Source organism: Homo sapiens, chromosome 10 (assembly GCF_000001405.40).
Source record: "Homo sapiens chromosome 10, GRCh38.p14 Primary Assembly".
Taxonomy (NCBI): Eukaryota; Metazoa; Chordata; class Mammalia; order Primates; family Hominidae; genus Homo; species Homo sapiens.
Genome location: NC_000010.11, coordinates 124,644,399 through 124,669,067, shown reverse-complemented (window position 1 = coordinate 124,669,067; position 24,669 = coordinate 124,644,399). Strand labels below are relative to the sequence as shown.

At 54.2% G+C, this 24,669-nt stretch overlaps 1 protein-coding gene across 1 annotated transcript in view, besides 12 other annotated features; it reads left to right on the top strand.

The window, feature by feature from the left end:
• Nucleotides 1-24,669, top strand: part of FAM53B (family with sequence similarity 53 member B) — a 125,087-nt gene that overhangs the window by 75,311 nt on the left and 25,107 nt on the right. The window lies entirely within an intron of this gene.
• Nucleotides 4,700-5,357: an enhancer, noted in NCBI's record as "H3K27ac-H3K4me1 hESC enhancer chr10:126352280-126352937 (GRCh37/hg19 assembly coordinates)". NCBI's record gives its function as "activates a minimal SCP1, AML or CMV promoter by ChIP-STARR-seq in primed H9 embryonic stem cells {active_cell/tissue: H9 hESC(primed)}" and the evidence as "EXISTENCE:reporter gene assay evidence [ECO:0000049][PMID:30033119]".
• Nucleotides 9,611-10,497: an enhancer, noted in NCBI's record as "H3K27ac-H3K4me1 hESC enhancer chr10:126347140-126348026 (GRCh37/hg19 assembly coordinates)". NCBI's record gives its function as "activates a minimal SCP1, AML or CMV promoter by ChIP-STARR-seq in primed H9 embryonic stem cells {active_cell/tissue: H9 hESC(primed)}" and the evidence as "EXISTENCE:reporter gene assay evidence [ECO:0000049][PMID:30033119]".
• Nucleotides 17,765-17,874: an enhancer, noted in NCBI's record as "active region_4173". NCBI's record gives its function as "activates an Ori minimal core promoter by ATAC-STARR-seq in GM12878 lymphoblastoid cells {active_cell/tissue: GM12878}" and the evidence as "EXISTENCE:reporter gene assay evidence [ECO:0000049][PMID:35858748]".
• Nucleotides 19,954-20,248: a silencer, noted in NCBI's record as "tiled region #12473; K562 Repressive DNase matched - State 5:Enh". NCBI's record gives its function as "represses a minimal TATA promoter and a strong SV40 promoter by Sharpr-MPRA in K562 cells {active_cell/tissue: K562}" and the evidence as "EXISTENCE:reporter gene assay evidence [ECO:0000049][PMID:27701403]".
• Nucleotides 19,954-20,801: a biological region, named in NCBI's record as "Sharpr-MPRA regulatory region 12473".
• Nucleotides 19,959-20,801: an enhancer, noted in NCBI's record as "H3K27ac-H3K4me1 hESC enhancer chr10:126336836-126337678 (GRCh37/hg19 assembly coordinates)". NCBI's record gives its function as "activates a minimal SCP1, AML or CMV promoter by ChIP-STARR-seq in naive H9 embryonic stem cells {active_cell/tissue: H9 hESC(naive)}" and the evidence as "EXISTENCE:reporter gene assay evidence [ECO:0000049][PMID:30033119]".
• Nucleotides 20,020-20,220: a silencer, noted in NCBI's record as "fragment chr10:126337417-126337617 (GRCh37/hg19 assembly coordinates)". NCBI's record gives its function as "represses an EF-1alpha promoter that drives an FKBP-Casp9 reporter gene in an ReSE screen in phorbol 12-myristate 13-acetate-treated (for megakaryocytic differentiation) K562 erythroleukemia cells {active_cell/tissue: K562(+PMA)}" and the evidence as "EXISTENCE:reporter gene assay evidence [ECO:0000049][PMID:32094911]".
• Nucleotides 20,050-20,139: an enhancer, noted in NCBI's record as "active region_4172". NCBI's record gives its function as "activates an Ori minimal core promoter by ATAC-STARR-seq in GM12878 lymphoblastoid cells {active_cell/tissue: GM12878}" and the evidence as "EXISTENCE:reporter gene assay evidence [ECO:0000049][PMID:35858748]".
• Nucleotides 20,954-21,248: an enhancer, noted in NCBI's record as "tiled region #14470; HepG2 Activating non-DNase unmatched - State 8:EnhW, and K562 Activating DNase unmatched - State 5:Enh". NCBI's record gives its function as "activates a minimal TATA promoter and a strong SV40 promoter by Sharpr-MPRA in HepG2 and K562 cells {active_cell/tissue: HepG2 | K562}" and the evidence as "EXISTENCE:reporter gene assay evidence [ECO:0000049][PMID:27701403]".
• Nucleotides 20,954-21,288: a biological region, named in NCBI's record as "Sharpr-MPRA regulatory regions 4217 and 14470".
• Nucleotides 20,994-21,288: an enhancer, noted in NCBI's record as "tiled region #4217; HepG2 Activating non-DNase unmatched - State 8:EnhW, and K562 Activating DNase matched - State 5:Enh". NCBI's record gives its function as "activates a minimal TATA promoter and a strong SV40 promoter by Sharpr-MPRA in HepG2 and K562 cells {active_cell/tissue: HepG2 | K562}" and the evidence as "EXISTENCE:reporter gene assay evidence [ECO:0000049][PMID:27701403]".
• Nucleotides 23,929-23,978: an enhancer, noted in NCBI's record as "active region_4171". NCBI's record gives its function as "activates an Ori minimal core promoter by ATAC-STARR-seq in GM12878 lymphoblastoid cells {active_cell/tissue: GM12878}" and the evidence as "EXISTENCE:reporter gene assay evidence [ECO:0000049][PMID:35858748]".

Sequence of the window (24,669 nt, the reverse complement as noted above, 5' to 3'; positions counted from 1 at the left end):
GCGGGGAGGAGGTCCAAGCCAGCCCTGCACTTTCCCCAGGCCAGGGGCCTGGCTGGCCTCCGCTCTCGGGCCTCTTGGCAGCTGCTCCGGAGGCAGCACCGGATGCCCTCCACTCACTTCCCTCCGTGAGAGGCGCCTTTGGCACATCAGGCCTTGGGAAGGAGTGGCAGGAAAACCTGGCATTCTGTGTCCCAGAAGGAAAAGGCCTATCAGTGCCCATACTTGAAACTTGGCACACAAGGGGAAGGTGGTTTGAGGGCACACTGTAACGGTGGCTGTGCCGTACCGTGCTCCGCCAGGCCTGTTCTGTGCACACTTGCTGGGCCCACTCAGCCTCCATGAGGTCCCCTCTTGCCTCATGACCCCTGGCCCCACTTATCAGCTGCCTCTTTGCTCTTGTGCCTCCCTAGGAAGATGAGACAAGGAGAGCACCCTTGTGGGTTGCCTGGGTCTTGTCGTGCCTTTCTGGCTCTGTACCTTGTGTCCCCTTGTGGAAGGACAGGTCCTGCCTGGCATGGGCACAGTGCTGTGCTCTTGTCTGCCAGGCAGTTCTAACTGAAAGTGCATTGCCCGTATCCCCCTTGCTAGTTGGTAGCCAGCTTTAAACAAGCCTGATTCACCTAGAGAGTTTCCATCTCACTGTAATCTAGAACAGTCTTGGGCAACAGAATTTTCTGAGAATTGATGGCAAATAAACATGGGAATAAATACCCTGCGGCAGGGGAGCCGGTGGCTAGAAACACCCTGCTGTGGGGGCTGTGGTCCTGCTCAGAAACAGCTTAGGCCAAGGGGCGAGATGGCCGTGTGTTTGGGGAGAGCATTTCCGCAGATGTTGGCTGATTATGCAGCATTAACTGTTTGGCAAGAAAAAATATCTCATCTGAAATGGTGTGAGGTTAATTGTCACTCAGCAGAGACACCAGATCTTCAGCTTGATTCACGCAGGGAAAACTACGAACAAATATGCATGCCGGCATCTGCTCCAAACCTAGGACAGCAGGAAATGGAAGGCAGTGTCTGGCCTGGGCTCCCCTGCTAGGAGGAATCTGGGCTCCAGAGATAGGTGGGCCTGGTGTGGGGCTTGGTGTGCCCCTCACCAGCCGAGTAGCCCTGAGCAAGTCGCTGCCCCTCCCTGGGCCTCAGTGTCCTCCTCCCCATGTCGTGGGAGTGAAGCAGCCTGATGAGGGAGAGCTCCTACAGCAGGCAGCTGTGCAGTACCCCCTGGAGAGGCTCAGCACCAGCATGGTGTTCTTGATCTTATTTTGTTGCTGCTTGTGATCTTCCAGAAGGGTCTCTGCTTCTTATGAAATCTTCCATTTGAGGCATTTCTGGAGGCATTATTCTCATTAGCTTGAGGGCAGTCCAGTGAGGGAGAGAGCAGCCCTCTGCCCTGTGACCCCGGGCGGGGCTGGGAGGCTGTAGTGCGAGAATGGGGAGAGTCAGGTGCCTCGCACCCCAGGCACCAGGAACAGGAGCCTCTCCCAGCCCTGCCCGGTCCTCCTCAGCCCTGTGGATGTGGAGGCTCAGAGGGCAGCCTCTGACCACACAGGTGGAGTGCCAGGCCACAGCTGTGGGCTGCTGACTGTTGGCAGGTGAGGTGGGGGATGATTTGCAGAAGAAACTCACCTGTTGTATTTTCTCCTCCAGATAGCCCCATGAGGAAGGCACATCGTTATCCATTTTACAGGCGGTGGCTGAGTCTTAGAGGAAGCAGTCCAGTGAAACCAGAACTCAAGCCACATATATAATTTAAAATTCCTAGTAGCCAGTTATTAAGAGAAGAAAGTGAAATGACTTTGAATAGTATATTTAACCCAGTATTTCCAAAATACTATCATTTCCACATGTCATCGATGTAAGTAAATCATGAATGCACTATTTTATGTTCTTTTTTCTTACTGGTTTCAGAGATCCACTGGTGTGTCAGGTGACAGCAGGTCTCAGTTTGGCCTGGCCACTGCTCCATCATTCAGTGACTGCATGTAGCTTTGCTGAGTGGGGCTTTGGGGTACGGGTATAAGAGTGTGGGGGGGTTGGGGGTCAGCCTTGGTTCCCACTTGGTGCTGCCATAGACCCTTTTCCTCTGGAAGGGCCCAATGCCAGCTGGTAAAGGAGGGGCTGGGCAAGAGGCCCCTGCCTGAGGTGCTAGGTGCTCTGGGCTGTGCCCTCTGCCTCGGGTATAGCAGGCCCCAGGAGACCTGAGGACCAGAGCGTCTGGTGCCCACAGGCTGTCCATGGTGGAACTAGAGGTTCCTGGGCTCACCTGCTCCACCCTCCTCGTGGGGCTGGTCCGGGAGGCCCGGGGAGTTCACTGTTTCTCTGAGCATCCTGCCCTGCTCTCTGAGGCCTCTTTTCTACTGTACCCGTGCAGCCCTGCTTAGCCTGCTGTTCCTGGCGTGTGGCCGGGGCAGGGCTGGGGAGATGGGAGGTGGTGGGAGACGGGGTGATACAGGAAGACAGGGGCTTCTCATCAGGGGGTGCTGAGAAGACAGCTTTGCAGCATGACAGGCCCTGGGCCATTTTTCCACGGTTGTGGTCCTGCATTTCATGACTGGGCTGTGCCTTTGTCCCCACATGTCCCCTGCTCGAGCCACTCGCGTCAGGTTCTACACAGCTGGCCAGCTGCAAGCCCCATCCACAGGGAGCTCTTCGGGGTGAGCCCCCATCTACCAGCACTCTGGAAGTGAGTGTGAGCCTGGAAGGTTGCAGTGGCAGGTGGAGGGAAGGCCCCAGAATAGAAGGAATGTGGCAGAGGTGGCCTTGGACCAAGCCGAAGGTTCCAGAGCTATCCTGTCTCTGGGGCTTGGCAGCCTCTTAACCATAGTTTTCCTGGAAAATTGCATTTGTGGCTCTGGTTTGCCCCACCCTTCTGGGAGGGATTCACAGGAATGTCAGGGCATCTAGCTTATCAGCCTGGGAGCTTCAGGAACGTGGCCCTGCCCACCAGGGGAACTTTCTGGGCCCTCAGAGTCTAGGCAGCCAATAACCTGGGAAGCTGGTTCAAATCAGCATGCATTGATTGAACACCAGCTGTATACAACTGCCTGTGCCAGGGCTCAGGGAAGACTAGCGTGTACAAGACCCCATCCTTACCTGCAAGGTAGGTGCAGGCTACAGGGCTGGGGTGGAGACAGCTGTGTCTACGTAGCCGACTATAAGCCGAGTCACAGTAAGATGAGCTAGTCTTGTCCTCTGAGGATCGAGATTCAATTCTAGATTAATCTCTTTGTTCAGCCACTATTTATTTACCTAGCATTTGCTGTGAGTCAGGCCCTTGTAGGCACCAGGGATGCAGCAATGGAGAGGACAGTTAGCCCTGGCCTCCTGGAGGTCACAGCACCAACAAGTCATCACTTAGAAACGTGGAAAGGGCCATATCACCGGCCCACGTGACCAATGCCCAGGGCTGTATCCTCTGAGCCTTGGTTTTCTCACCCATCTAGCAGGATCCATAATAGCAGTTGCCAGGACGAAATAAGATGATGGACACAGGACCTCCATGTATGCATATGGGATTGTTCTAGGAAGCCAGGAGTAGGAAGCGAGGGGCACGTTTTGAGTTCTGCCTGTCATGTGCAGGGCCTAGCACTGGCTCCTTTGCAGGGGAGCTAAGAAGCTCTCTAGTCAGGGGAACAGGCTTGGGCAGCCCATCAGTTGGAGTGGAGAGGAGACACAGGCACATAGATGTTCCTAAGACCAGGAGCAGACAGTTGGGCTGGAACTGGGGTTGGGAGAGCCACCTGGAGAGTTGAGGCTTTATTCTGTGGGCAGCGAAGGATGGCCCTGGGCAGGTGGCCAGGGACTTGAACCTCACTCAGGTGATAGACAAGTTTGGGGCAGTAAGAGAAGGCTATGCCCACGCCTTTGGTACCCTTCAGTGGAGAAAGGGGGCTGTGGAACTGTGCAGAGCACTGGAGGCTGTGAACTGCTGGGGCCTGAAGCCCTTGGGAATTTCTTGCCTGGTTCTCAATGAGGGTCCAAGAGCCTGGTGCACACAAGCGAGGGCCACTGGCTGGGGCTGGCCTCTGTAGGGCCAGTCAGGTGGGTTCTCCCTCTACCTTACCAGGAGGGGAAAGTTCATCAGGGAAAAAGGAGCTTTGTCAGGTTTGTCCTTGGGGAGCCAACCTGAGTCAGAAATCAGGAGCCGAGAAAGCCAGAGGCAACAGTCCTGGATCGAGCAGCAGCAGAAAGAAGCTTTGGGACTTCCCTCTGGCCCCACGCAGTGAGAGGATGGGGACTTCTGCCCTGGGCAGCTACTTAACCTCTCTGTGCCTCAGTTTCTTGGTCTGAAAATTGGGTAAAAGCAGTGCCTACATACAGCAAGTGCCTAATAAATCATTGTTTTGGAATACGGGACTATCCCATTTCTGTGGATGGCTGGGGTAACCACTGAGCATGAGTACTGAGGGCCTGGCCTTGGGCACAGCCAGGTCCTGTCTTTTGCCGTCCTTAGGTGACTTGCTGAGGGCCGGAGAGTTGGCTAGCTTTGTGCCATCTGCGCAGAGTTCTACCCTCAGAGCTGTAGCCCTGCGGGTTTTGAAGACTTGGGGGCCTTGTAGCCCCTGGTAGAAAGGCAGATTGTGATGGCGGATCTGGGCTTGGAGCCCAGGTCTCTGCCTTCCCGGCCCAGTGTTGAAGCTCCCCAAGCTGACCTGTTTCCTAAAGGCGAGCAGCATGCCAGGGTGCACCAGCCACCATTGGCTTTTGGCCCCGGAGGCCTGCTTTGGCTGGGGTTTTGCCCACTTCCCATGCCTGGGGTAAGCGGGCCCCAGCTCTGAACCTCCCTTCAGGGACTCCATGGAGGTGCTGGAGGCTGCTCTCTGGCAAGTCTTGTGCTTGATCTGCTGGTGTCAGGCAGCCCTGGGGGCCAGCCCTAGGGGAGGTGCCAGTGTGTGCAAGCTCCATCCCTTCTCAAGTGGAGACCGGCACCTGCTCACCACAGGTGTGTCTTGGCCAGGTGAGGCCTGAGCCTCAAGCTCCTCAGTGCCTGGTGCTGTGTGAACCTGGTACCCAAGCTCCCTGGAAAGCATGGAGGCATCCAGGCAGCACTGACCGCAGGGCCTGGCACGGTGTTAGCTCACTTAAACCTTGCAGTGTTCATGGGGTACACTGACGAACAGGGAGGCTGGGCATACAGGTGTCCCGTGCCAGGCTCGGGAGACCTGGGAGATTTGGCCCAGAGCCTCCTGGGTTGGTGGGAGGAGGTGAGGAGCAGTAGCATCGGTCTCTGGAGATGCCCGAGGGTAGAAGCACAGGGAATATAGGCTGCTGGTAGGCGCCCTGGAACAAAATGAGCCCTGGGGTAAATGAAGGCCCATGACGAACCCTTGTTAAAGGCCCAAAATCACCATGGAAAGCTTCCAGCTCCCAGAGTGCAGTTCACCTTCCGGCACGAAGACATCACCTGGCAGCACGATGGGACTTCAGAACCTCGGTGCCCACCCCAGACCTGCCGGATCAGAGTCTGTGTTTTAACAAGACCACCAAGTACATCGCGAGCTCCTTCAATATGGAAAGTGCTGAATATGGGAGATGGGCCCTCTGTGGGAGGCCACCTCTGGTTTGTCTTTGGTTTGGGCAGCCCTCCTCTGGCTCCTCTTGCAGCTGGGGACGGATTGGGCCTGTTCTGCAGAGGTGGGGCCGGAGCCTTACTTGGCAGCCGCTCCAGTGCTGGCCTTTCTCTAGCCTCTGATGTTGGTCTCCTGCTCGCATTGTCTCTTTTCCTAGGAACGAGGGCAGTGTGGTTCATGTCAGGAACCTTAGCCAGAGCTCTGTACCTCCTTTGGCCTAGGCCCCACTCCTTGGAACTTTGGTCAACACACAAATGACAGCACTGATGGCTTTGGTCATGCACAGGCTTGCACTTTATGTGTGTGTCCTGTCTACCACTGCAGCTCTGAGAGGCAGGGATGAGGCTCTGGGAGGAGAAGCAGCCTGCCTTGTGGTCTTCTGGGGTCCACACTCACATGACATTGAAAGACAAGGACAAGAAGGCACAGGCTTAGATTTGAGACTTGCCCCTCAGTGTGCAAAGGACTCAGTGACCGTTTCTCGTTCCTGCTCTGTGTGAGACCCTGTTTCACCTGGTCTAGGCTTGTAGACAGGTGGGCATTCCAGGCTTGAGGTGCGGTGACCAAGCAGTGGTGACAGCTGGCCCTTGAGGCCAGGGCCTGTACCTGTCTGGTTCTTTAACTAGACCTCTAGCACCTACCAAGGTGTGAGTGGTTTCCCAAAAATCGATTGATTGACAGGATCTTGCTCTGTCACCCAGGCTGGAGTACTGTGGTGTGATCGTAGCTAACTATAACCTTGAACTCCTGGGCTCAAGTGATCCTCCCACCTCAGCCTCCCAAGTAGCTGGGACTACAGATGCATGCCAGTATGCCAGGCTAATTTTTAAGTCTTTTAATTTTTTGTAGAGACAGGGTCTTGCTATGTTGCTTAGGCTAGTCTTGAACTCCTGGCCTCAAGCCATCCTCCTGCCTGAGCCTCCGAAAGCACTGGGATTACAGATGTGAGCTACTGTGCCCACCCTCTAAAAATTTATTGAATACATGGATGGATGGATGGATGGATGGATGGATGGATGGATGGATGGATGGATGGGTGGGTGGGTGTGTGGGTGGGTGGATGGATGGATGGATGGACGGACGAACGAACTCACAAACTGAGGCAGGAGGCCTGGATTCTTCCCCATTGGGCACATCAGCTCCTCCATTGATGATACTTAGTAAGCAAGGATGACAGCATTGTTTACTGGGGACAGTGTGGCAGGCACTGTGCTAAGCGTTTGTGTAGCTGTGGATTATCTTTATTACAGCCCTGGAAAGTGGGTATTGTTGTGCTTGTTTTACGGAAGAGGCTGAGGTTCAGAGTAGCGGCCACGGTCACAGGACCAGCTGTGGCCATGAGGCCCATGCTTGTTCCACTCCCCAGGAGGGGGTCTGGGCAGGGCTCTGGGTGCCAGGCCCCTCCCATCTCAGGTGTTGTCCACAAAGGGGTCTGGTCCAGTGAGGGCTAGAGTCATGGAGGTGAGGGGTTGGCTAGGCCTTCCTGCCTTGCCGTGGTGGACACATGAGGATCCCTGGTGTGAGGCAGCCAAGCAGCCGGGCTCACCGATCGGAGCCCAGACCTGGGATGGCAGCAGGGATCTCACATGACGTCATCTAGGGAGCTTGCTCTGGCCCCTGCTAGGCCAGCCGTCAGAGCCATGTAAGACAGTCTAAGATGACAGTTGTCACTGTTGTGGATGAAGCAGGCTAAGATTGGATCATTACTGAAATCTGAAACTTGAATTTAAGTGGGGACAACGAGCAGTGTCCAAACGGGGGCAGTAATGGTGGCCTTGGTAGAGCCCAGGAACCTGTTGAAGGAACCCCCTCGTGCTTTTGACAGGGCACCAGAGGTGTTGGGGTGGTGGTGGCAGAGGACAGTAAAAGGTCCCTTCCCTCCTCCCCACTGCCCTGGCCTTGAGGCCTAGAGAGACCTCGCAGTGCGGGACAGTGGCTGTAAGATTGTCTCAGAGCCCACCAGCTGGGAGAAGGAAAAGCACAGGACAGGCGCAGCTTTTATTCCAGGTGTCAGATCCTGTTTGGGCCCTTTCAGGAGGCCTGGCTTACAAGGAGAGCTAGACTCTGCCTTTTTCCTCTGCAGTTGAGGTGGGTTAGAGGGCAGCCATGGGCCCTTCTGCTCCTGGGCCTCTCTCAACCTTCTGGGGACCATTCTCATCACAGCATGACCTGGGGAACACTCACAGAGGACAGAGGTCCCAGTGTCTGTTGAGTTCTGTGTGGGATGCGACACACCTCCGTTTAATATGCTAACTATAGATCTGCTGAGTGGACAGACCCCTGGAACCTCCTGATTCAGGGGACATTCACTGTACTCATGACTCCAGTTATGGCCATGTCTTCCAGGAGTGGTGACAGCTGTCACCTCAGAGAAGGGGTCAGCACACCATAGCCCACAGGCCAGATCCTTCCATTGCCTGTTTTTTTTTTTTTTTTTTTTTAATTTCAGTAGCTTTTGGGGTACAGGTGGCCTTTGGTTTCATGGCTGAATTGTATAGTGGTGAAGTCTGAGATTTTAGTGCACCTGTCACTCAAGTAGTGTACATTGTACCCAATATGTAGTGATTGCCTGTTTTTATAAATAAAGTTTTATTGGTACACAGCTCTGCCTGGATACATACATGTTGTCTCCAGCTGCTTTCATGCTACAACGGCAGGGTTGTGTAGTGGCAGGGCTGGGTCATTATGACAGAGCCCGATAGCTTACAGAACATAAATATTTACTCTCTGGCTCTCTAAGAAAAGTTTGCTGGCACCTGATCTAGATGACCTTACGTCTCGATTTCCCCATTTGGAAAGTCACTGGATTTGCTTGGCAATTTCTCACCAAAAGCTAAAGCTGGCCCTCGATAGGGCCCAGGAATGTGGCAGGGCTACAAGGCAGCTGGCTCGGCTGTCTCAGGCTCTGCCGTGCTCACCGTTGGCCTCGAGTGGGCCCTTCCCATGCCCCCCCAGGTGATAAGCAGGCATGCTGGCGAGGGGGCTGTGGGAAAGGGGCACTTAGTGCTCGTGAAGCTTGGCTAACTGGAGCCTTGGTATCAGGGTGAGTTGTATTCAACGGATCTCAGTGCACAAAAGTGTAATTTTTACAATGAAAATGGCATTACTCTGGGGCATTCCTCTGGACGTACCAGCTGGGTTGCTTGTCTGGTCCCAGTGAGATGTCTTTTCCAAGCTGTCTTGTGTTGCCCTCATGCTTGAGACAGTGTGGGCCAGAGCGAGGATGGATCGTTTGCTCTGCGTTCGTTTGCTGCCTCAATTTCCTCTGTCTCCTGAAGCATTTTGGTGGGGCTCTTCCGCTCCATATGGTGGAACGAAACCCAAACGTGAACAGCGAGGGCAGCACTGGGCTTCTCGCCACTGAAGACAAACCCCTAGAAAGTTCGCTCTGGGCCAGGCACAGCGGCTCATGCCTGTAATCCCAGAACGTTGGAAGGCCAAGGCGGGTGGGTCACTTGAGGTCAGGAGTTTGAGACCAGCCTGGCCAACATGGCAAAACCCCGTCTATACTACAAATACAAAAATTAGCTGGGCATGGTGGTGCACACCTGTAATCCCAGCTACTCGGGAGGCTGAGGCGGGAGAATTGCTTGAACTCGGGAGGCAGAGGTTGCAGTGAGCTGAGATTGTGCCATGGCACTCCAGCCTGGGTGACAAGAGCGAGACTCCGTCTCAAAAAACAAAACAAAAGCAAAGTTGACTCTGGCCTGGGACCCAGAAAACTCTGTCAGCCAGATATCTTCTGGCCCCTTAGGTGGACAGCCAGCTCAGAAGTTGCTAGAGGAGATGAGCTTGTGGTAATGGAGCTTGGCCCGGCAAGGTGGTTTTGCAGCCACTCTGTGAAAATAAGGGTGGGGATGGTTGGCTCAGATTTAAAAGCCTCAGCTGGCTGTGGTTTTATCCTGTGCCCCACCTCAAAGTTAGGCAGTGGAGGCTGTCCCAGGGCAGATGCTGCCATTGTCTGAGAAACCTGCAGCAGCCAGCCTGGAGCCAGGAGGCTGTTGCGTGGGCTGGAGCATCTTTGGGGACCCAGAAATGTGTTAGAAAGTTCTTACTGTAACCAAGACCACTTCCACCACTGCTATTAGCTCTGGCCCTAGCACTGGCCTGTTTTGAAACTGACAATGAAAAGATGAGGGGCAAGGAGGAAAAGCTGCTGATCAGTTGTATCTCTCCCTTTAAATAAAGCTGCTCCTTGTGGCTCCTCTTAGTCCTTCCTTGGTGAGCAGCTCTGCTCAGACTTTAGGCCTATCATGGCTGAAAGCAGGAAGGCTAGAGGTGGAGGGAGTCACGATTCTCCAAAGGGTAGTTTAGCTTCAAAGGCTGTATGTGTCCTGCAAGTCCTGTCAGTGTACACTGAGCTCCCATGATGTGCAAGATGCTGGCAGAAGGGGTGGGTGCACGTCAGCCACCAAACCTGCCCATCCCCACCATCGCCATCCCAGTATCTGGGACACAGCTACTGTTATTGTCATGCCAGGTTACCACCACAGACACAGAAGCACAGACCTAATTAAATAACTCACCTAGGGCCATGGTGCCGGTTCTAGGCAGGTAAGGGATTTGAACTTGGGTGGTGTGGCTAGCAGTCTGTGTGCTGAGCCCGTGCAGCGCAGCCTCAGTGGGGGCACAGGGAGCAGGGTTTGAGGACCAGCAGGCTGGAGAAGCTTTGACAGGCGGACACGGGGAGCATGGGTGGAGGCAGGGAACGTGGCCTTGGTGTTCCATCCCCAGGCTGTGGCCCTTTAGCTCACTGCACTGCAGTTGTGGCCTGGGTTGCCGGGGTGAAGTGCAGGGATGTTGCTGGAGGCACCTGGCCTGCTCCTAGGATCTCAGCTTCCTCCACATGCCGTGTGCACCTTCCTCCCTCTCTCCCACGGTAGTTTGCTGTTCTCCAGGACTTGTATGGATGGTTCTCAAAGGTCCAGCACCATTAAATAGATCTCACTAAGGTGACACTTCTCCAGGTCTGAATATGCTTGTGTCTCCTAGAAGGGGTGAAGAATACTCCTCTTAGCCCATTTTGCATGTATGAGTGGGGGCCACCCACTTGGCAAAGCAGCCTTTGAGAAACACCAGTAACATGTAACCAGGGTAGGGATGTGGCAATGGGCAGGAGGGTCCCCCTTGACATCTATTCAGAGGTCCATAGCCTGGGACTCCTGCTGAGGTGACCTGGGGCGCTTCTGGACCTGAAACCTCCTTGGGTGGCATTGTGTATGGCAGCACCGAATATGGCCAGAGGCCTCCGCATTTGCCAAGCGGGATCCCTATCCCCAAGCACACCAGTGTTTTCCTTAGTTTCTTGCGTAGCAAAGCCCCTCCCCTGGGTTCTTGCTCGCTGCCCCTGTCTCTGCCCCAGACTGTCTGCTGGGTGAGCCTGGGAACTGACCTGGTTCTTTGACTGTGGGAGAAAAGTCACCAGTCACAACCAAGATGCTGCCAAAGTGCCCACCCAGTTCCGTGGTCTTGGTAATATTTGTGGTTAGTATGACCTACATATCGTCACAGCTGCTTTCAGTGGCCGCGTAGAAAAGCAAGCAAGCAGAAAGGAACCTTCCTGGCTGCGGAGAAGCTGTGGAGTAGGCTGGCTGCAAGCAAGGCCTTTGGAGCAGATGGAGCTGGTTGCGGCTCTAGCTGTGGGACTTTGAGCAAGTCATTGGATTTCTCTGATCCTGTTTCCTCATTCGTAAAATGGGCATGAAAAGAGGGAGTTAGGTGAAATGTCTGTCTCATGCTCAGGGCTAACAGCACACAACAAATGCTCAATTCATGGTAAATGGTAATATTCTTGTTAGTAGAGGGCACAAACACTTGTATATCAGCTCAGGAGTATGTCAGTTTCACATTCATTGACATTTACTGTTTCTACTGGTTAAAAAAATTAATGCATACTTGTAAAAAAGTTTAAAGTTCAGAAGAGAAAAAATATAGTTTGGAAATGTAAAAGAACAGAAATTTAAATTCCTCTGAAATCCACCTACAGAGATAATGATCTTTAAATATTTGGTGTAGTTCCTTGCAGTCCTTTTTCTGAGCAGTTATAACGCTGAGAAGTGACTCTTGACACCCTTTCTAGCCCCAGGAGTCCATGGATTCCACAGGTGCAAATACAGATTTTAAATCATCATTTACCAATGTGTGGAACAATGACAAGAAATACGAATTTGTTGCTTTAAAAAGGGGAAAGAAACATGAGTTAAAACAAAATATATTAGCTTAGCACTGGTTTCTTACTCTATCCAATATGAAAAGCAGACACAGTTTTTTTTCCTTTCTTTTAATCTGTATACTGCCATTTCTTATATATATATATATATGTACATATATATATACACACATATATACACATATATATGTATATACACACATATATATACACACACACATATATATACACATATATATACACACACATATATATACATATATATATACATATATACATATATATATATATTTATACTTTAAGTTCTAGGGTACATGTGCACAACGTGCAGGTTTGTTACGTATGTATACATGTGCCATGTTGGTGTGCTGTACCCATTAACTCGTCATTTACATTAGGTATATCTCCTAATGCTATCCCTCCCCTCTCCCCCCACCCCACAACAGGCCCCGGTGTGTGATGTTCCCCTTCCTGTGTCCAAGTGTTGTCACAGTTTTTAAAAAAACTCCTGGCTTGTGCAACATAGAATTGAATTATTTTAGGCTGTTCAGTTTCAAAGACTGTGAATGTTGATGCTCTTGTATCCTTAGTTTGTAATAATGCTATTTCCTCTTTAACACCACAGAACACACTCCATCAGTGGGAGGGCAGCACATCACCTATGATCTCATCAACCCTGTTGTCCCTTCGGGAGGGTCGTGTTGTCTGGCCTTAGGGGCTGGGCTGGCCTGGCCGCACCAAGCACAATTTGACCAACTGTTTCCAGCCTGTCCGTGAACAACAGTCGTTTCCAATATTGGTCTGTGCCATGGACACTGGAGCAACGGTGCTGATGGAGCAGTGCCCTACTATTAGTTTGGTTTTGTTCTTAACAAATAGTCTATATGTGAGTTCAGGGGGTCTGTGTTCACTGTGGCATTGTACCCAAACCAGCCCTCCATTAGGGCCATGGCGTCGGGGAACACCTGCGCTCCCACTACAGCAGGGCTCCCTGGAGCCTTTGGCTCTCTTGATCATTCAGAGCATGCTTATCGTGGGGCCTGGGGTGCCTCCAGACTGCGCCTCCACAGTGGGAGTGCCTGCTGTAAGTGAGCAAACCTAGACGCCTCTTGGTTGTATGTCCGCCTCCCAGATCTTGGGCCTTGCCCTGTTCCAGTGGGCAGAATCCAGGCCTCCTCCTCATTTCCTTTGTACTCATAAAGGACCCATGTTCAGGTTTCTCTTTGCCACCTGTTCAATGTGTCTTTCTGGGACCTACTGTGTGCTGGGTACCGTGCTGGTACTGTAGAGCAGGAAAAACAGAAGCAATGCCCCATTGCCTGCTGCTGGATGGATCCCGTTCTGGGGCTAGTTCTGTTTGGTACGTACCTGCTGTGTGCACATACTGCTCTTGGCACTGAGGACTGTGTGGAGCAGGATGGCCATGGGCCCTTCTCTCTGGCAGCTTCCATCTAGTGTAGACAGATAGACAATATTAAGAGCAAAGCAGATTGTGTTGGACAAAGTAAGTGCTGCAAAGACAAGGAGCATGGGTAGTGGGACAGAGGCGACGAGCAGAGAAGTAGAAGGATCTTCTGCGTGGAATGAGAGACCTCCAAGGCTGGCGTGTGTGGGAGGAGCTGGCTGTGGCTGGGGCAGAGGGACCCCAGCAGAGAACAGGCTGCTGGATATTCATCTGTGCCTGCTGAACCCCTGCTGCAGTCAGGAGCCCCAGCTCTGCCATTAAGCAGTCCCTGGATGACAGTGGGCGTTACCTGGAGTGGCCACGCTCACCCCAAGGAGAGGCTGTCTCCAGAGCCCCAGTGCTGGGCAGCTCTTCCTCATTCCTCGGCATCCCGTGTTTCCTGCTGGTATCGTCCTGAGAAGCTTCGTGGGATGAGATGTCTTGGTGGGGAAAGCCAAGGAGGTAGCAAGTTCAAGGAGCCCCTAGTCTTCCTGTTGACACCCAGGAGGGTGTGGCTTTCAGGCCCCTCCCCAGGCCAGCAGGTCCTGACACCTGAATTCATGTGGAAATGCTGAGCCTCTGAATGGCCTCCTGCTGTGTGAGACTGGGTGGTGTCCAGGAGGTAGTCCCAGGGTGTGGGTGGGGAGATGGGAGATGAGAATGTCCTGAAGCTAGCCTTGTCACCTGAATGTGACAGGACACTGTGGTCAGTCCACCCTCTCCAGCCAAGAGTGTCCAATGTGGAGTGAAGTTATGAATGGGCCCCTAAGCTGGGCCTGAGGAGGCAGCCCCGGGCCCTGGAGCTCAAATCTGTGTTGCCATCATCTAAAACGGGATTGTCCAGAAGCCCATCACCTGTGTGCCCCTGGGGCTCCTGTAACCTGGGCACGCTTTGGGACCTGTGGCTCACTGCAGTCTTGGCTGTTGGCAAAGCAATCATTGTGCATTTCCTGCCTGTCTTGCTTTCAAAAGGAGCCCGAGGGGCCTGGTGTGACTTCCCCCATGGAGCTCCTTAGACCAGACACAGACAGGGCGAGCAGAGGCACGCCGGGGCCTCCTTACCTCCTTCTGGAAGGGGCCTGCTCACAAACCCAGGGACTCAGAGCTGGGGGAGCAGAAGGTCCCAGGCCTCAGGAAGGCCAAACACCTACAGCCCTACCCACAACACCACTCATGTCCGCAGAGATGTCCCTTCCTCTGTAGTGGAAGGGAGTGGGTTCTGCCACCACCCGAGCTGGGGGTGGGGACCCTGGCACATGCCTGGAGTCGGGCTTTCTACCCTCGCCCTGGGCAGGGAGGGCCACGGGGAGATGAATCAGAGGCGGATTCTGCCTTCCAGTAACTCCTTCTTTGTTCTGCTGTAAGTGGAAAGTCAGCCCTCACCATCTCTGCTGCCATCCGCATGACTGCAGACCTTTGGGAAGCCAAACACCACCTCCCTGGGAGCGCTCTTCCTTCCCATCCTTGCCAGCATGGCCACAGACCGGAAGTGGCCCTTCCCAGAGCTGATGTTCCAGTGTGGTCCAGTTTCTGTCCTGGTGTGGAGAGAGGAAGTCCGCTCAGACCCAGGGGTTGGGAGGGCCAGGCCCTAGGCTCCAGGTCCTTTGTTTGAAGATTTTTTTCTGAGCACCATAGCGTTGCATGACGATGACAATCGCACTTCGCATGGCTGGGCGCAGCGTTTCATTCACAACATGCATTTTTCTCACAATGCTTCCTAATTATTTCCTTTGGCAAGGATAGGAGCCTCTTTCTTTAGGATAGCACCTGAGTTCCCAGAGCCACAGTTTTTCCAAATAAGGAGGCATGTGGCTGGTGTCCAGCAGATCCCTTAATGGCTCTGAATGCCCCTCCTCCCTGCGTCCTCAGCAACCTGGCAGACTTCAGCCCAGGAAGGGTGCTGATTGGAGCTGCCTGGTCGGCTTCCAGAAGGTTACCAGGTGGGACCGGGCTCCTGGGGCTTTCTAGCTGAGTTTCTGCACAGCACTGGTCAGTATAAAGAAGCTGGAGAATCCAGCTGGCATCAACCCTGAACTGGGCAGCAGGTGTTCCAGACCTGGCCACACATGGACTCCCCCATCTGTCCAGCACCTTGGAGGTCCCAAAGTGCGTTCTTGCATCCTGTTCATTTCTTCCTCACAGGATCCCTCTGAGATAGGCTCTGCGTGGGCCATGTGGACAAGGAAAGCGAGGCTGAGACTGGGAGGGTCCTGGCCAAGGTTACCCTGAGAAGATAGTGGTTAAGAGAGGGCTTTGACCCAAGTCTGGCTCATGAGTCTGACCCCACTGTGCCAGCGAGACCCAGCTGGGCCTCTTTGCCCTACAGATGAGTGCCGTCAGCTGGGCCAGTGTCCTGGCAGGGGCCCGCAGCCCATCTTGTTCTTGCAAGACCTCTTGAAAGTGTAACACGGAGAGTGAGGCCTGGCCATCCGGGACCCTGGCAGTGCCTGGGTATTTTCAGCTCTGTGAGATGCCCCTGTTGAGTCCATCAGGGTCCCCACGCCAGAGCCCTTCTGGCAAGCCCCTGCTTTACTCCAACCCTCCTGGCATAAAGGAAGCTGGTTGTCCCAGCCTCAGGCACAGCTCTTCTGGAAATCTGGAGGACATTACCTCCTGGCTGGCCTTGAGCTTGGGGCTGCATCTGAGAAACATATCCAAGCCTATGGGCTTCTCCCCATTCACTGAGCAGGGATAAAAATCCTATCAAAATAGTTTTTGAAGAGCAAGGCCCTACCAGTGTCATTGGGGCACATGAGGTGAGGCAGGCAGCCCTCAAGGCTCTGTTTAACTTAGTTATCTGCAGAGCCCTCCGGGACCTGGTTGAAAAATGCTGTCCTGGCCTCAAGGGCACGTGGGTCCTACCTCTTAGGGCCTGGCAGCACAGTCTCCTCCTGGCCAAGGCATCTGGGTGCACAAGGGAAGGTAGGGCCATTTTGTCTACAGCTCCTTTGATTGGTCGAGCACACACCAACACAGGGCGTCGTCTGCCTGTGTGGGCTGGAGAGGCAAGAGGCTCCTCTGCCCTGGGGACTAGCCTGAGGGTTCCAGCTAGTAGATTTTTGCCTTTCTGTGGTTTGCTCGGCCGTTCCCTGGGTACTCTTGCTACCTTCCATATTGAAGGAAGTGGACCCCGAACTGGAGCCATATAGGACAGATGGGGAATGCTGCTGCTTCAGGCCCTCCACCACAAGGCTTCCTTGTGTCATTAAAATACATACTGTCCTTTCCCACTACCTGTGGGACTGGTGTTTGTGATAGCCCTGGAATGTGAGCACCAGGAAACACTGAATGTCACTCACCTCCTTGGACCCCTTGCCTCTGCAGGTGAAGCCACTGAGGCCAGAGGAGGGAAGTGGCTGGCCATGGTCACCCAGGGTTATCACCGTGGGTGACAGGCTGGGACCAGATGTGAGTGCAGCTGTGGGCCGGGCCCCTTCTTCTCTCTAAGGCTGTGGCCACAGCCTCCTCTGACACCTGACAACAGCATGAACTCAGCCCATCCCGGTGTTGCCCAGGGCCTCAGTTTCCTGATCTGTGAATTGGGCATGAGTTCCTTGCTCAGTTCACCCCTGGGCACGGCTGGATGTGAACGTATTGTGCACATGGTAAGACCCTGGCTAGTCCTAAGCCCTGGTATTATGGTTGACACCTACTGAGTAGAAACAGTTGGGAATTGATAGCTTTTCCCTCTGCGGGTTTTCATAACCATTGCTGGACACCGGCAGGGACAAACTTGGGAAAGTCTTGGGACCCAAGTGGAAGAGAGGACTATAAATGAAAAACTAGAGGGGATAATTCCAGCCTCAAAAGCATGCTCGTGCTTATCACACTTTGATGTTGGCTTTGAAATTCTCCAGGTATGCCCTTTGGAAAGGGACTCCTGGAGGGCAGGGGCCTCGCTTCCTGGCCCCTGAGTTCACATTGCTCAGGAGAGCACCTGGTGGACCACAGATGCTTCACAGATGGGGGACAAATAAAGGAACCAGCAAGCAAAGGCTGTCTGGGTTGAGAACCGCCCTCAGTCGCAGTTGTCCTGACGCTGGGGCTGGCGTGAACGTTCCAGGCCCAGTCATAGTAGACAGCAGGGGTGGCGTGTCCCCGCCATGTGCCAGTGCCCAGTCACTGCCGACCTGAGGCAGGGGCTAGACATCTGTGGGGCTCTGCTGACCTTGACCCTCCAGAGCAGGCAGGCCCCAGGGTCGGAAGTCAGCTGACAGTCTCCACAGTGCTCCCCTGAGGAGGAAATGAGGAGGCCGCTGGGCCTCACTGTCTCGGAGGTGGGGGTGGCAGGGGAGAGCAGCAGGAGGAGTGGGGTGCATAGTCCAGGTCCCTGGTGCCGTGTGTGGGATTGTGATTCCGTCCAGCGGCTGGGCTCCCTGCTACAGTGCCTGCAGTTCAGCAGTGAGGGGCCACAGCATGCCTTTATACTGCCTCCCCTGGCAGCCCTCTTAGCTTCATCCCTGCCTGTCCTGTGTAGCTGGGAGGACAGAGCAGAGCAGGCTCAGGAGGATGCCAGGCAGCACCCTCTGCTCAGCCGCACCCCTCCAGCCTCCTTCTGCACCTTTGGGAAGGTGCAGAGGGAAATGGAACACGAGGGAACTGAGTTAGGGCCCTGGGGCCTCAGCTCCTGGAAAAGGCTAGCAGCAAGGCCACAACAGAGCGTCTGAGGGCAAGGTGGTGGCCACCTGGCTCTGTCTCCCTGTGGCACAAAGGGAGAAACCGAGGCCGGCAAGGACAGAAGGCTTGGCTTTGCCCCTGTGCTGAGTGCAGCTGGCCCTGCCTTGCTGCCACCTTTGCTGCAGTGGCTTTGGCTTTGGGGTGGTTTGGGCAGGAAGTGGCCTCTGAAGGGAGATTGGGGGGCTCCCAGTGTCTGGCGTGGCTAATTCACATGCGTGGAGCCTCTCGGTGTGACTCAGCGCCCGTGAGTCCTCGCATTTCTTTTTTCTTTGTTGTCTTAGGTTTGTTTTCATTCTCGTTGAAGGCAAGAGGGGGGTTTCAGAGTTTAGGGCACAGAAAATCCACTTTAGGATGAACCCTTTCTTTTCAAACACATCTCTCTCTCGAAACAAATGGCTGATGGCAAAGGAATATTGGCCTCCTAGCAGGGCTGGGGACATTGTACTGGGGAAATAGTCTGGAAATTGGTCATCTGCAGAAGTAGTTTTCCTTCTGGAGGAGGAATGCCTCACTCTGGGAGGCATTAGGTGGAAGAAAACAGCGCCTCTGGAGTCCTGGGGTTAGGGTTCAGCTCTCGGCTTCGCTGTGCTCTGGCCAGGTAAACTCTGAGCTGCAGCGTCCTCATTTGTAAAGTGGAGATGAGAAGAATAACTTGCCTCACAGGGTTGGTGTGAAGATCACATAGGCCAAAGGGTGTAGAGCGCCTAGCACATCTGGCCACACTGTGCGTGCTTGGCAGATGGCAGCTGCTGTCATCACCATCATCACCATAACCACCGTTACTTTCAGCGTCACAAGCACCACTGCCAAAACCACCATCATTGTCATCATCCAGCGTGGAGGGTCCAACTGGAACGCTTAGAAGACCTAGGCTCATGCCTGGTTCTCAGATTCAGGGTAGACGACACCTGTCCCGCGATGACCTGGGCCTCTTTTACCTTTGGCCTCCTCCAACCGATAGAGAGTCCTTCCTTGGAGGGAGAGGTCTGCCTCCTTAGTGCTTACTCTGGGAGCAGGGCACAGCCTACAGTATTGTAAAATTATCCTATACTTAATTATATTACTAAGAATATCCCAGCTCCATTAGGGAGATAAGTCATCTGATCGATAATTATGTCATCTGTACCTGTCGCCAGCTTGTCTTGTTATGACGTTAGTTTTACTGCTAGAAATATCTAGTAGATGGCTGGAAATCTGCAGGCAAAGTGCAGAGGGAGTGAGCCTGCGAGGAGAGGGCCTGGGCAAGTGACTGCCCTGGGCCGCAGAGTTCTTATCTAAAAAATGGGAACAGTAGTGTCTTCCTAAAGGCACCATGGACTTAAAATGAATGGCGCGTTTCCTGGGACTTATGTATATTTGGTTGCTTATGGGGACTTACGTATATTTGGTTGCTTTTGGGGACTTATGTATATTTGGTTGCTTTTGGGGTCTGAAGGAGTACAAAGAATCAAGTGCACACTTCCCAGTGTGTGAGGGAGACCAGGGACACCGCCAGCCTGAGTTCTGGGTAGGGCAGCTCTCTGGCAGTAAGCCCTCCATCTTACAGGGGGACACTCTGCATGGAAGGCGGCCTTTATCCAGCTGTGAGAAAGCAGACTGAGGCTTGGTCTGGAAGCTCGTTTAGAACAGGCATTGTCCACATCCTTGCAGTGGCTGGGATTTTGGCAATACCTTGTGTTATGCGACGGAGGGCAGACATGTTGGGAGAAACAGCTGCTGACTTGCCTGGAGGTGGGGCCGGCCAGGCCTGCTGTTTCTCTTTCCCACCATGGCTTTGTTGCCTGGGCCAGCCTGCCCTGTAGCACCCTCTCTACCCCATCCTCCATTCTGCTTGGTCAGATGGGTGGTCAGAGGGTGCCAAGCTGGTCCAACAATAGCAGGAAGGCCTCTGCCAGGGTTAGTTTGCTGCCATCTACTGAGACAACAATATTTTTTCTTGGAAGACATGGAAACTTCGAAATAATCCAGGCTGGTTTCCTTACTCCCAGGTTAGAGGTTGAAGAGGTAGGTGCAGAAGGTTCTAGCTGGAGCCTATACGTTTCAGAACTGGAAGGGACCTGTCATTATGTACCTGGTGAAACAGGCCTAGAGAGTTGCAGTCCTTTGCCCTGGGTCACTTAGAAAGTTAGCTGATGATGGGGCAGTGACCAGACCTGGCCTTCCACTGCTGCTGTTGCCTGCCTTTGGCAGTCTGCCCAGCAGGCCTGCAGCTGCTTCTGCAAGTCAGTAGGATACAGCTCTCATCCCCCACCAGTTTCATCCTGTCTCCCGCAAGTGGCTCGCTTGTTGTGGCAAGCACTTTCCACCACCAGTCTCTCCAGTGACGCTGCACATTCGTTAAGGGCTGGGACGGTGCTTTCTCTTCTCAGGGCGGCTTCCCACAATTGCTAATCCCGGCCAGACCCCTTAGCAGCAAAAGGAGCCCCGAACAGGCGGGACAGGTGGACTAGCTCTGAGTTCTGTTTCATCTGTAGGACCTTGGGCAAGTTACTTAACCTTTCTGAGCCTGTTTGCTCATCTGCAAAGCAAAAAAGAGCACCTTTAGGGGCTTGTTGGTGCACGCACCATGCCTGGCCCATTGTGAGGGCATGGTGGAGGGCTCTGCTGTTGCATTTCTAGTGGGTTCTCCCTCGTGAAGCCCCATGGCAATTATTCTTGAGGTCTCATGGCATTCCTATGAGGCAGGCAGGACGAGGTCATTATTGCCATTTTACAGATGGGGGAGGCTCCCAAGGAGCGGGGAGATGTGTGATGATGTTATGGCAGGTGGTGGAGAGCCAGGCCAGGACACAGCAGGCCGCAGCCCATCCTACCCCAGCTTCCCAGACCTTCCCCTCCATGGAGACTGCAGGCTCGTGGGCACCAGGCACACTGGGCTGGAGGCACCCACTGCCCATCTGTCCCTCTCCATCCTGGAGGTTTCCTGCCCAAGGCTTGGCCCTCTGCCGTGCCCAGGCCTGTGGTCTTGAGCGTGGGGTTTTCCAACAGACGCTCCCAGAGCCTTGGATCCTCGATGTGTCTTGGTTTCCTCCCAGAAGCTTGGCTGCTGCAGTGTTCTCAGAGAGAGGGTTTTCTGGAGGAGGCAGGGTGTGCCATTGTGCCCTGCAGGGCCAAGCAGATTTTCAGCATCCTAGGAAGAACCAAGAATGCAGAAGTCTGGGGGTGGTGAGGCCTCAGCCAGCCCCATGGCGTCCCCAGTGCATTTCCTGTTGACTCTCCCCGTGCCCACACCCACTTCCTTTCCCATCCCTGGCTCCACCCTGAGCCCTCTGCTGGCTGATAGCTCCATGTGGCTACTGACCTGCTTCATGCACACGGGGCTGTTCTGGGCTTTGTAGGAAACAGTGACCACAGGCCAGGGTCATCCCTTGAGCTATGAAGCTCCTCCTGTGTCTGGTGAAGCCGAAGACATTTTCCTCGGCTCATCTCAAGCAGCCATCTTGGGTCTGCCCTCAACACTTCAGTGAGGTGCCCTGGGGGAGGGGGTGACCCCGAGGGAGACATAGCCACCCCACCCCATGGGGTGACATGGAAAGGGTACAGGCCTTCCCTGCCCTCTGCTGCTTCCTAGCTGTGACACTGGACACATACCTGCCTCCCTGAGCCTCAGCTGCCACACGAGTGCATTGGTGACATGCATCTCTGCTCACACTTGTTCTGAGGACAGTCCTGCTAATGGAAAGCTCCCGCATGTGGTGGGGTCTTGGCGACAGCTTTCCTTTTCTTCTCTTGCCTGCCTGTCTACAGGGAGCTTCCAGTTCCTTTGGAACTTCAAAATGTACAGATCAACACTCTGCTTGAGACCCTGAAAAATCTGATTGTCGCAGCTTGGGGAGTGGGGTTTATGAGCAAGAGAAACACCCGAGGCCTGGAGCCTTGGGGCCGCTCCTCAGAGACAGGGAGATTTGCCGTGGCTTTCTGCGCCATTCATCCAAGTCACTTAGACTCAGAGTCCCCATTTATGAAATGGGTCTAGTAATAAACTTGAGAGCTTCAGGGCAGTGATACACATTAAATGAGATGATATTTTCCCCACGTGCTTGGCAGAGTGCCCAGCACAGCCTGACCATCAGCACATGCGGCCCCGATGCCTCGCTGTGCATCCCTTCCCAGTGTGTGCCGCTCACCAGTCCTGCCTCTTCATTGAGTTTGGGCTTCTCTGAGGTGGAGGCTGTTCTCCTTCTGCTCCCAGTTCCCATCGCCTGCTGCAGGGTCTGCCAAGGGAGGGCTTGCTACCCAGGAATGGCCCGGCCAGGAGGCTGGCTGTGTGAGATTCCAGGGATGGGGCCTCACTTAGAACCTGGAGAGGTCGACACCCATACACCCACATTTGCCTGTTTGCTTGCCTTGGGTGCTTCTGCAGTGGGCAAGAGATGCCAGTAGTTTTCCCAGACTCCCTGGCATCCATCATGGCTGCTTCCAGCCTCCCCTTAAAGTAATGGGATGAATCACCCCAGTATTGCAGGCTCATGAGTTAGATAAGAAGGGAAGTCAGAGTTCACATAAGGGGGTTGGCTGGAGGCCAGGTCTCCCAGCAGCAGGAGGAGACTGGGCAAAAGAGCGTCACAGGGTGGCCATCTGAGCTGGAGGGCAGGGATACTGAGGGAGCCGTAAAGCCCTGCACCTATCGGGAACCTCGTCTCATGTATTCCAGAGGCTCCGGGCTGGGAGCAAAAAGACCAGGGAGGAAACAGAAGGCGCCGGCACAGCAATGGGAGGGCCTTGGCCTGTGGTAGATGGTAACAAAACGGTTCCGTTTGTTCTGGGATTCCTTACACGCTTGGCTGTAGAATGGCACGTTTCTCCTCCTCTCTCCTGTCAGGCATTAGAGGCCTGGGGAAGATGTTTGAGCCCATTGCGGGGCCAGAGCAGATACAGCCCATCTGTATTGAAGCCACGATGGAAACATTCTTGAAGGCACATAGCAAATGCCTAAAGAAAGCGAGCTGCACTCACACAGGCAATCAGAGGGAGAGACGCTGTGATGTGGAGTGACATGGGGCTTGTGGGTCTGTGGAGAGCTGTCCTTCATGGGAGGATCCCTGACTCCATCCGCTAGATGCTCATTGTTCCCCCTCCCGCAGTCATGACAAGTGGTCCTCAGCTGGGGGCAACATTGCTGTGGTCGAGAACCACTGACTGGAGTAAAAGGCCTTGACCTCCCTGGTGTCTGCAGTCCCTGAGGCCCTGTTACCTGTTTGGCCTCAGACAGGAAAGCTGATCCTTCTGAATTGGGCAGTGGCAAAGGAGACGCACCTTCTCGGTGCCCACTCAGCTCAAATGCCATGCAGTGTGGGGTGGAGCTGGGCGGCAGGGCATCCTGTTACCTGTAGACACAGAGGCCTGCTGCCCCCGGGACAGGCTGTTTACCCTTATTGGCCCCAGGTTTTCCATCCTGGCTATCCCTGAGTCCAAGTCCCTAGGAGCTGGGAAGGATGGTCACATGATGGTTTCCTGGCGCACTTCTGCCAGCTCCCGGGTGATGCTGGGGTCTCCTGAGCCCCTCGAATGAGGCCAGGCAAGCAGGCGTTATGCCAGACAGCCGCCAACAGTGTGCGTCGCTGCTTTCCATAAGAAAAGGCGCCTGAGACCCACTGCCAAAGCACAGAGCCATCTTGCCCATTAATCAGGATTTCAGGATTCTTGGAGTGATCTTAGCAACTGCCTGGCAAAATCCCTACTCAATTTACCCTCACCTGTCTGCCTTCAGCAGAGGCTGGGAAGGCTGTGGGTGGAATGGGGGTGGGGTGGGGAATGCTGCCGGCGTGGGCCCATCTTGGGCCCCTAGAGCCTGTCTCAGGGGCTGAGATTTTGCATCTCTCAGCAGGGCCTGAGGGGGCACTCTGAATTAGTGTTATTGTTATTATTGCTCTCAATGATTACTGTTCTCCATTTTCAATTTTAAAAAATTAAAGAGAAGAAGGGATTTTCCCAGTTACTGTGTTGAGGAAGAGGCTGAGAGAGCAGATAGGCGGTCTTACCACAGAATGGCGGTGATGGCAGGGCCCACTCTGCACCTGAGGCCTCCAGGGAGGGCCCGAGTTGCCCCGGCTACCCCATCCTATGCCGAGGGCTCCAGCCAGCTCCTTGTGGCCACAGGTACCCTGGGCCCTTGCTTGAGGCTAAACCTGGTCATGACTTTGCTGCGGTCCCCAAGGTGACCTCTGCTTGGCGCCCTTGCCTTGTGGCCTGGCTTCAGCCCTGCAGGTGACAGTCATGTGGCTCCTCCCCCTGGCATTCAGGGGGAGAGCAAGAGGCAGGCCCCTCAGAACTCTGGATGTGGAGGGGCCACCATCACCTACTTAGGGACAGATGTTCTTGCAGCACCGAGTCCTGCAGCAGAGGGACTGATGCGCCGTCCCCTTCCATCTCCCAGCCTACCTGTCAGAGCAGGCTCTGGCTGGAAAAGCCAGCCCAAATGGCCCTCTTCTGCCTCCCTCCCCCATGCCCATCCCTGCTGCCACCCCCAGGACCCATCTGCACTCTCGGGTTCCCTACCCACAGCCATGTGGGAAACTGACATCCCAAGCTTCTCTGAGCACCCCAGGAAGGTCACCTCTCAGGCCTCCCTCAGTGGCAAAACCCTTTGAGTGGTACATTTCTGAGCTGTTCCTGCCAGGAGGAAACCCTGGTAATTTGGAGAAGGGTTGCTGAGTGCCAGGCAGGTCAGCCAGAAGTGATGTGCATTTCACTGAAAGAACAGAGTTGCCACCCACATCTTCATTTCTAGGCTAGGAGCTGTCCTGGAATTCTAAAGGGAAGGAAGGAAGGAGGGCGGGCAGTGAGCAGCCCCAGCCCTGTCTCTGGGG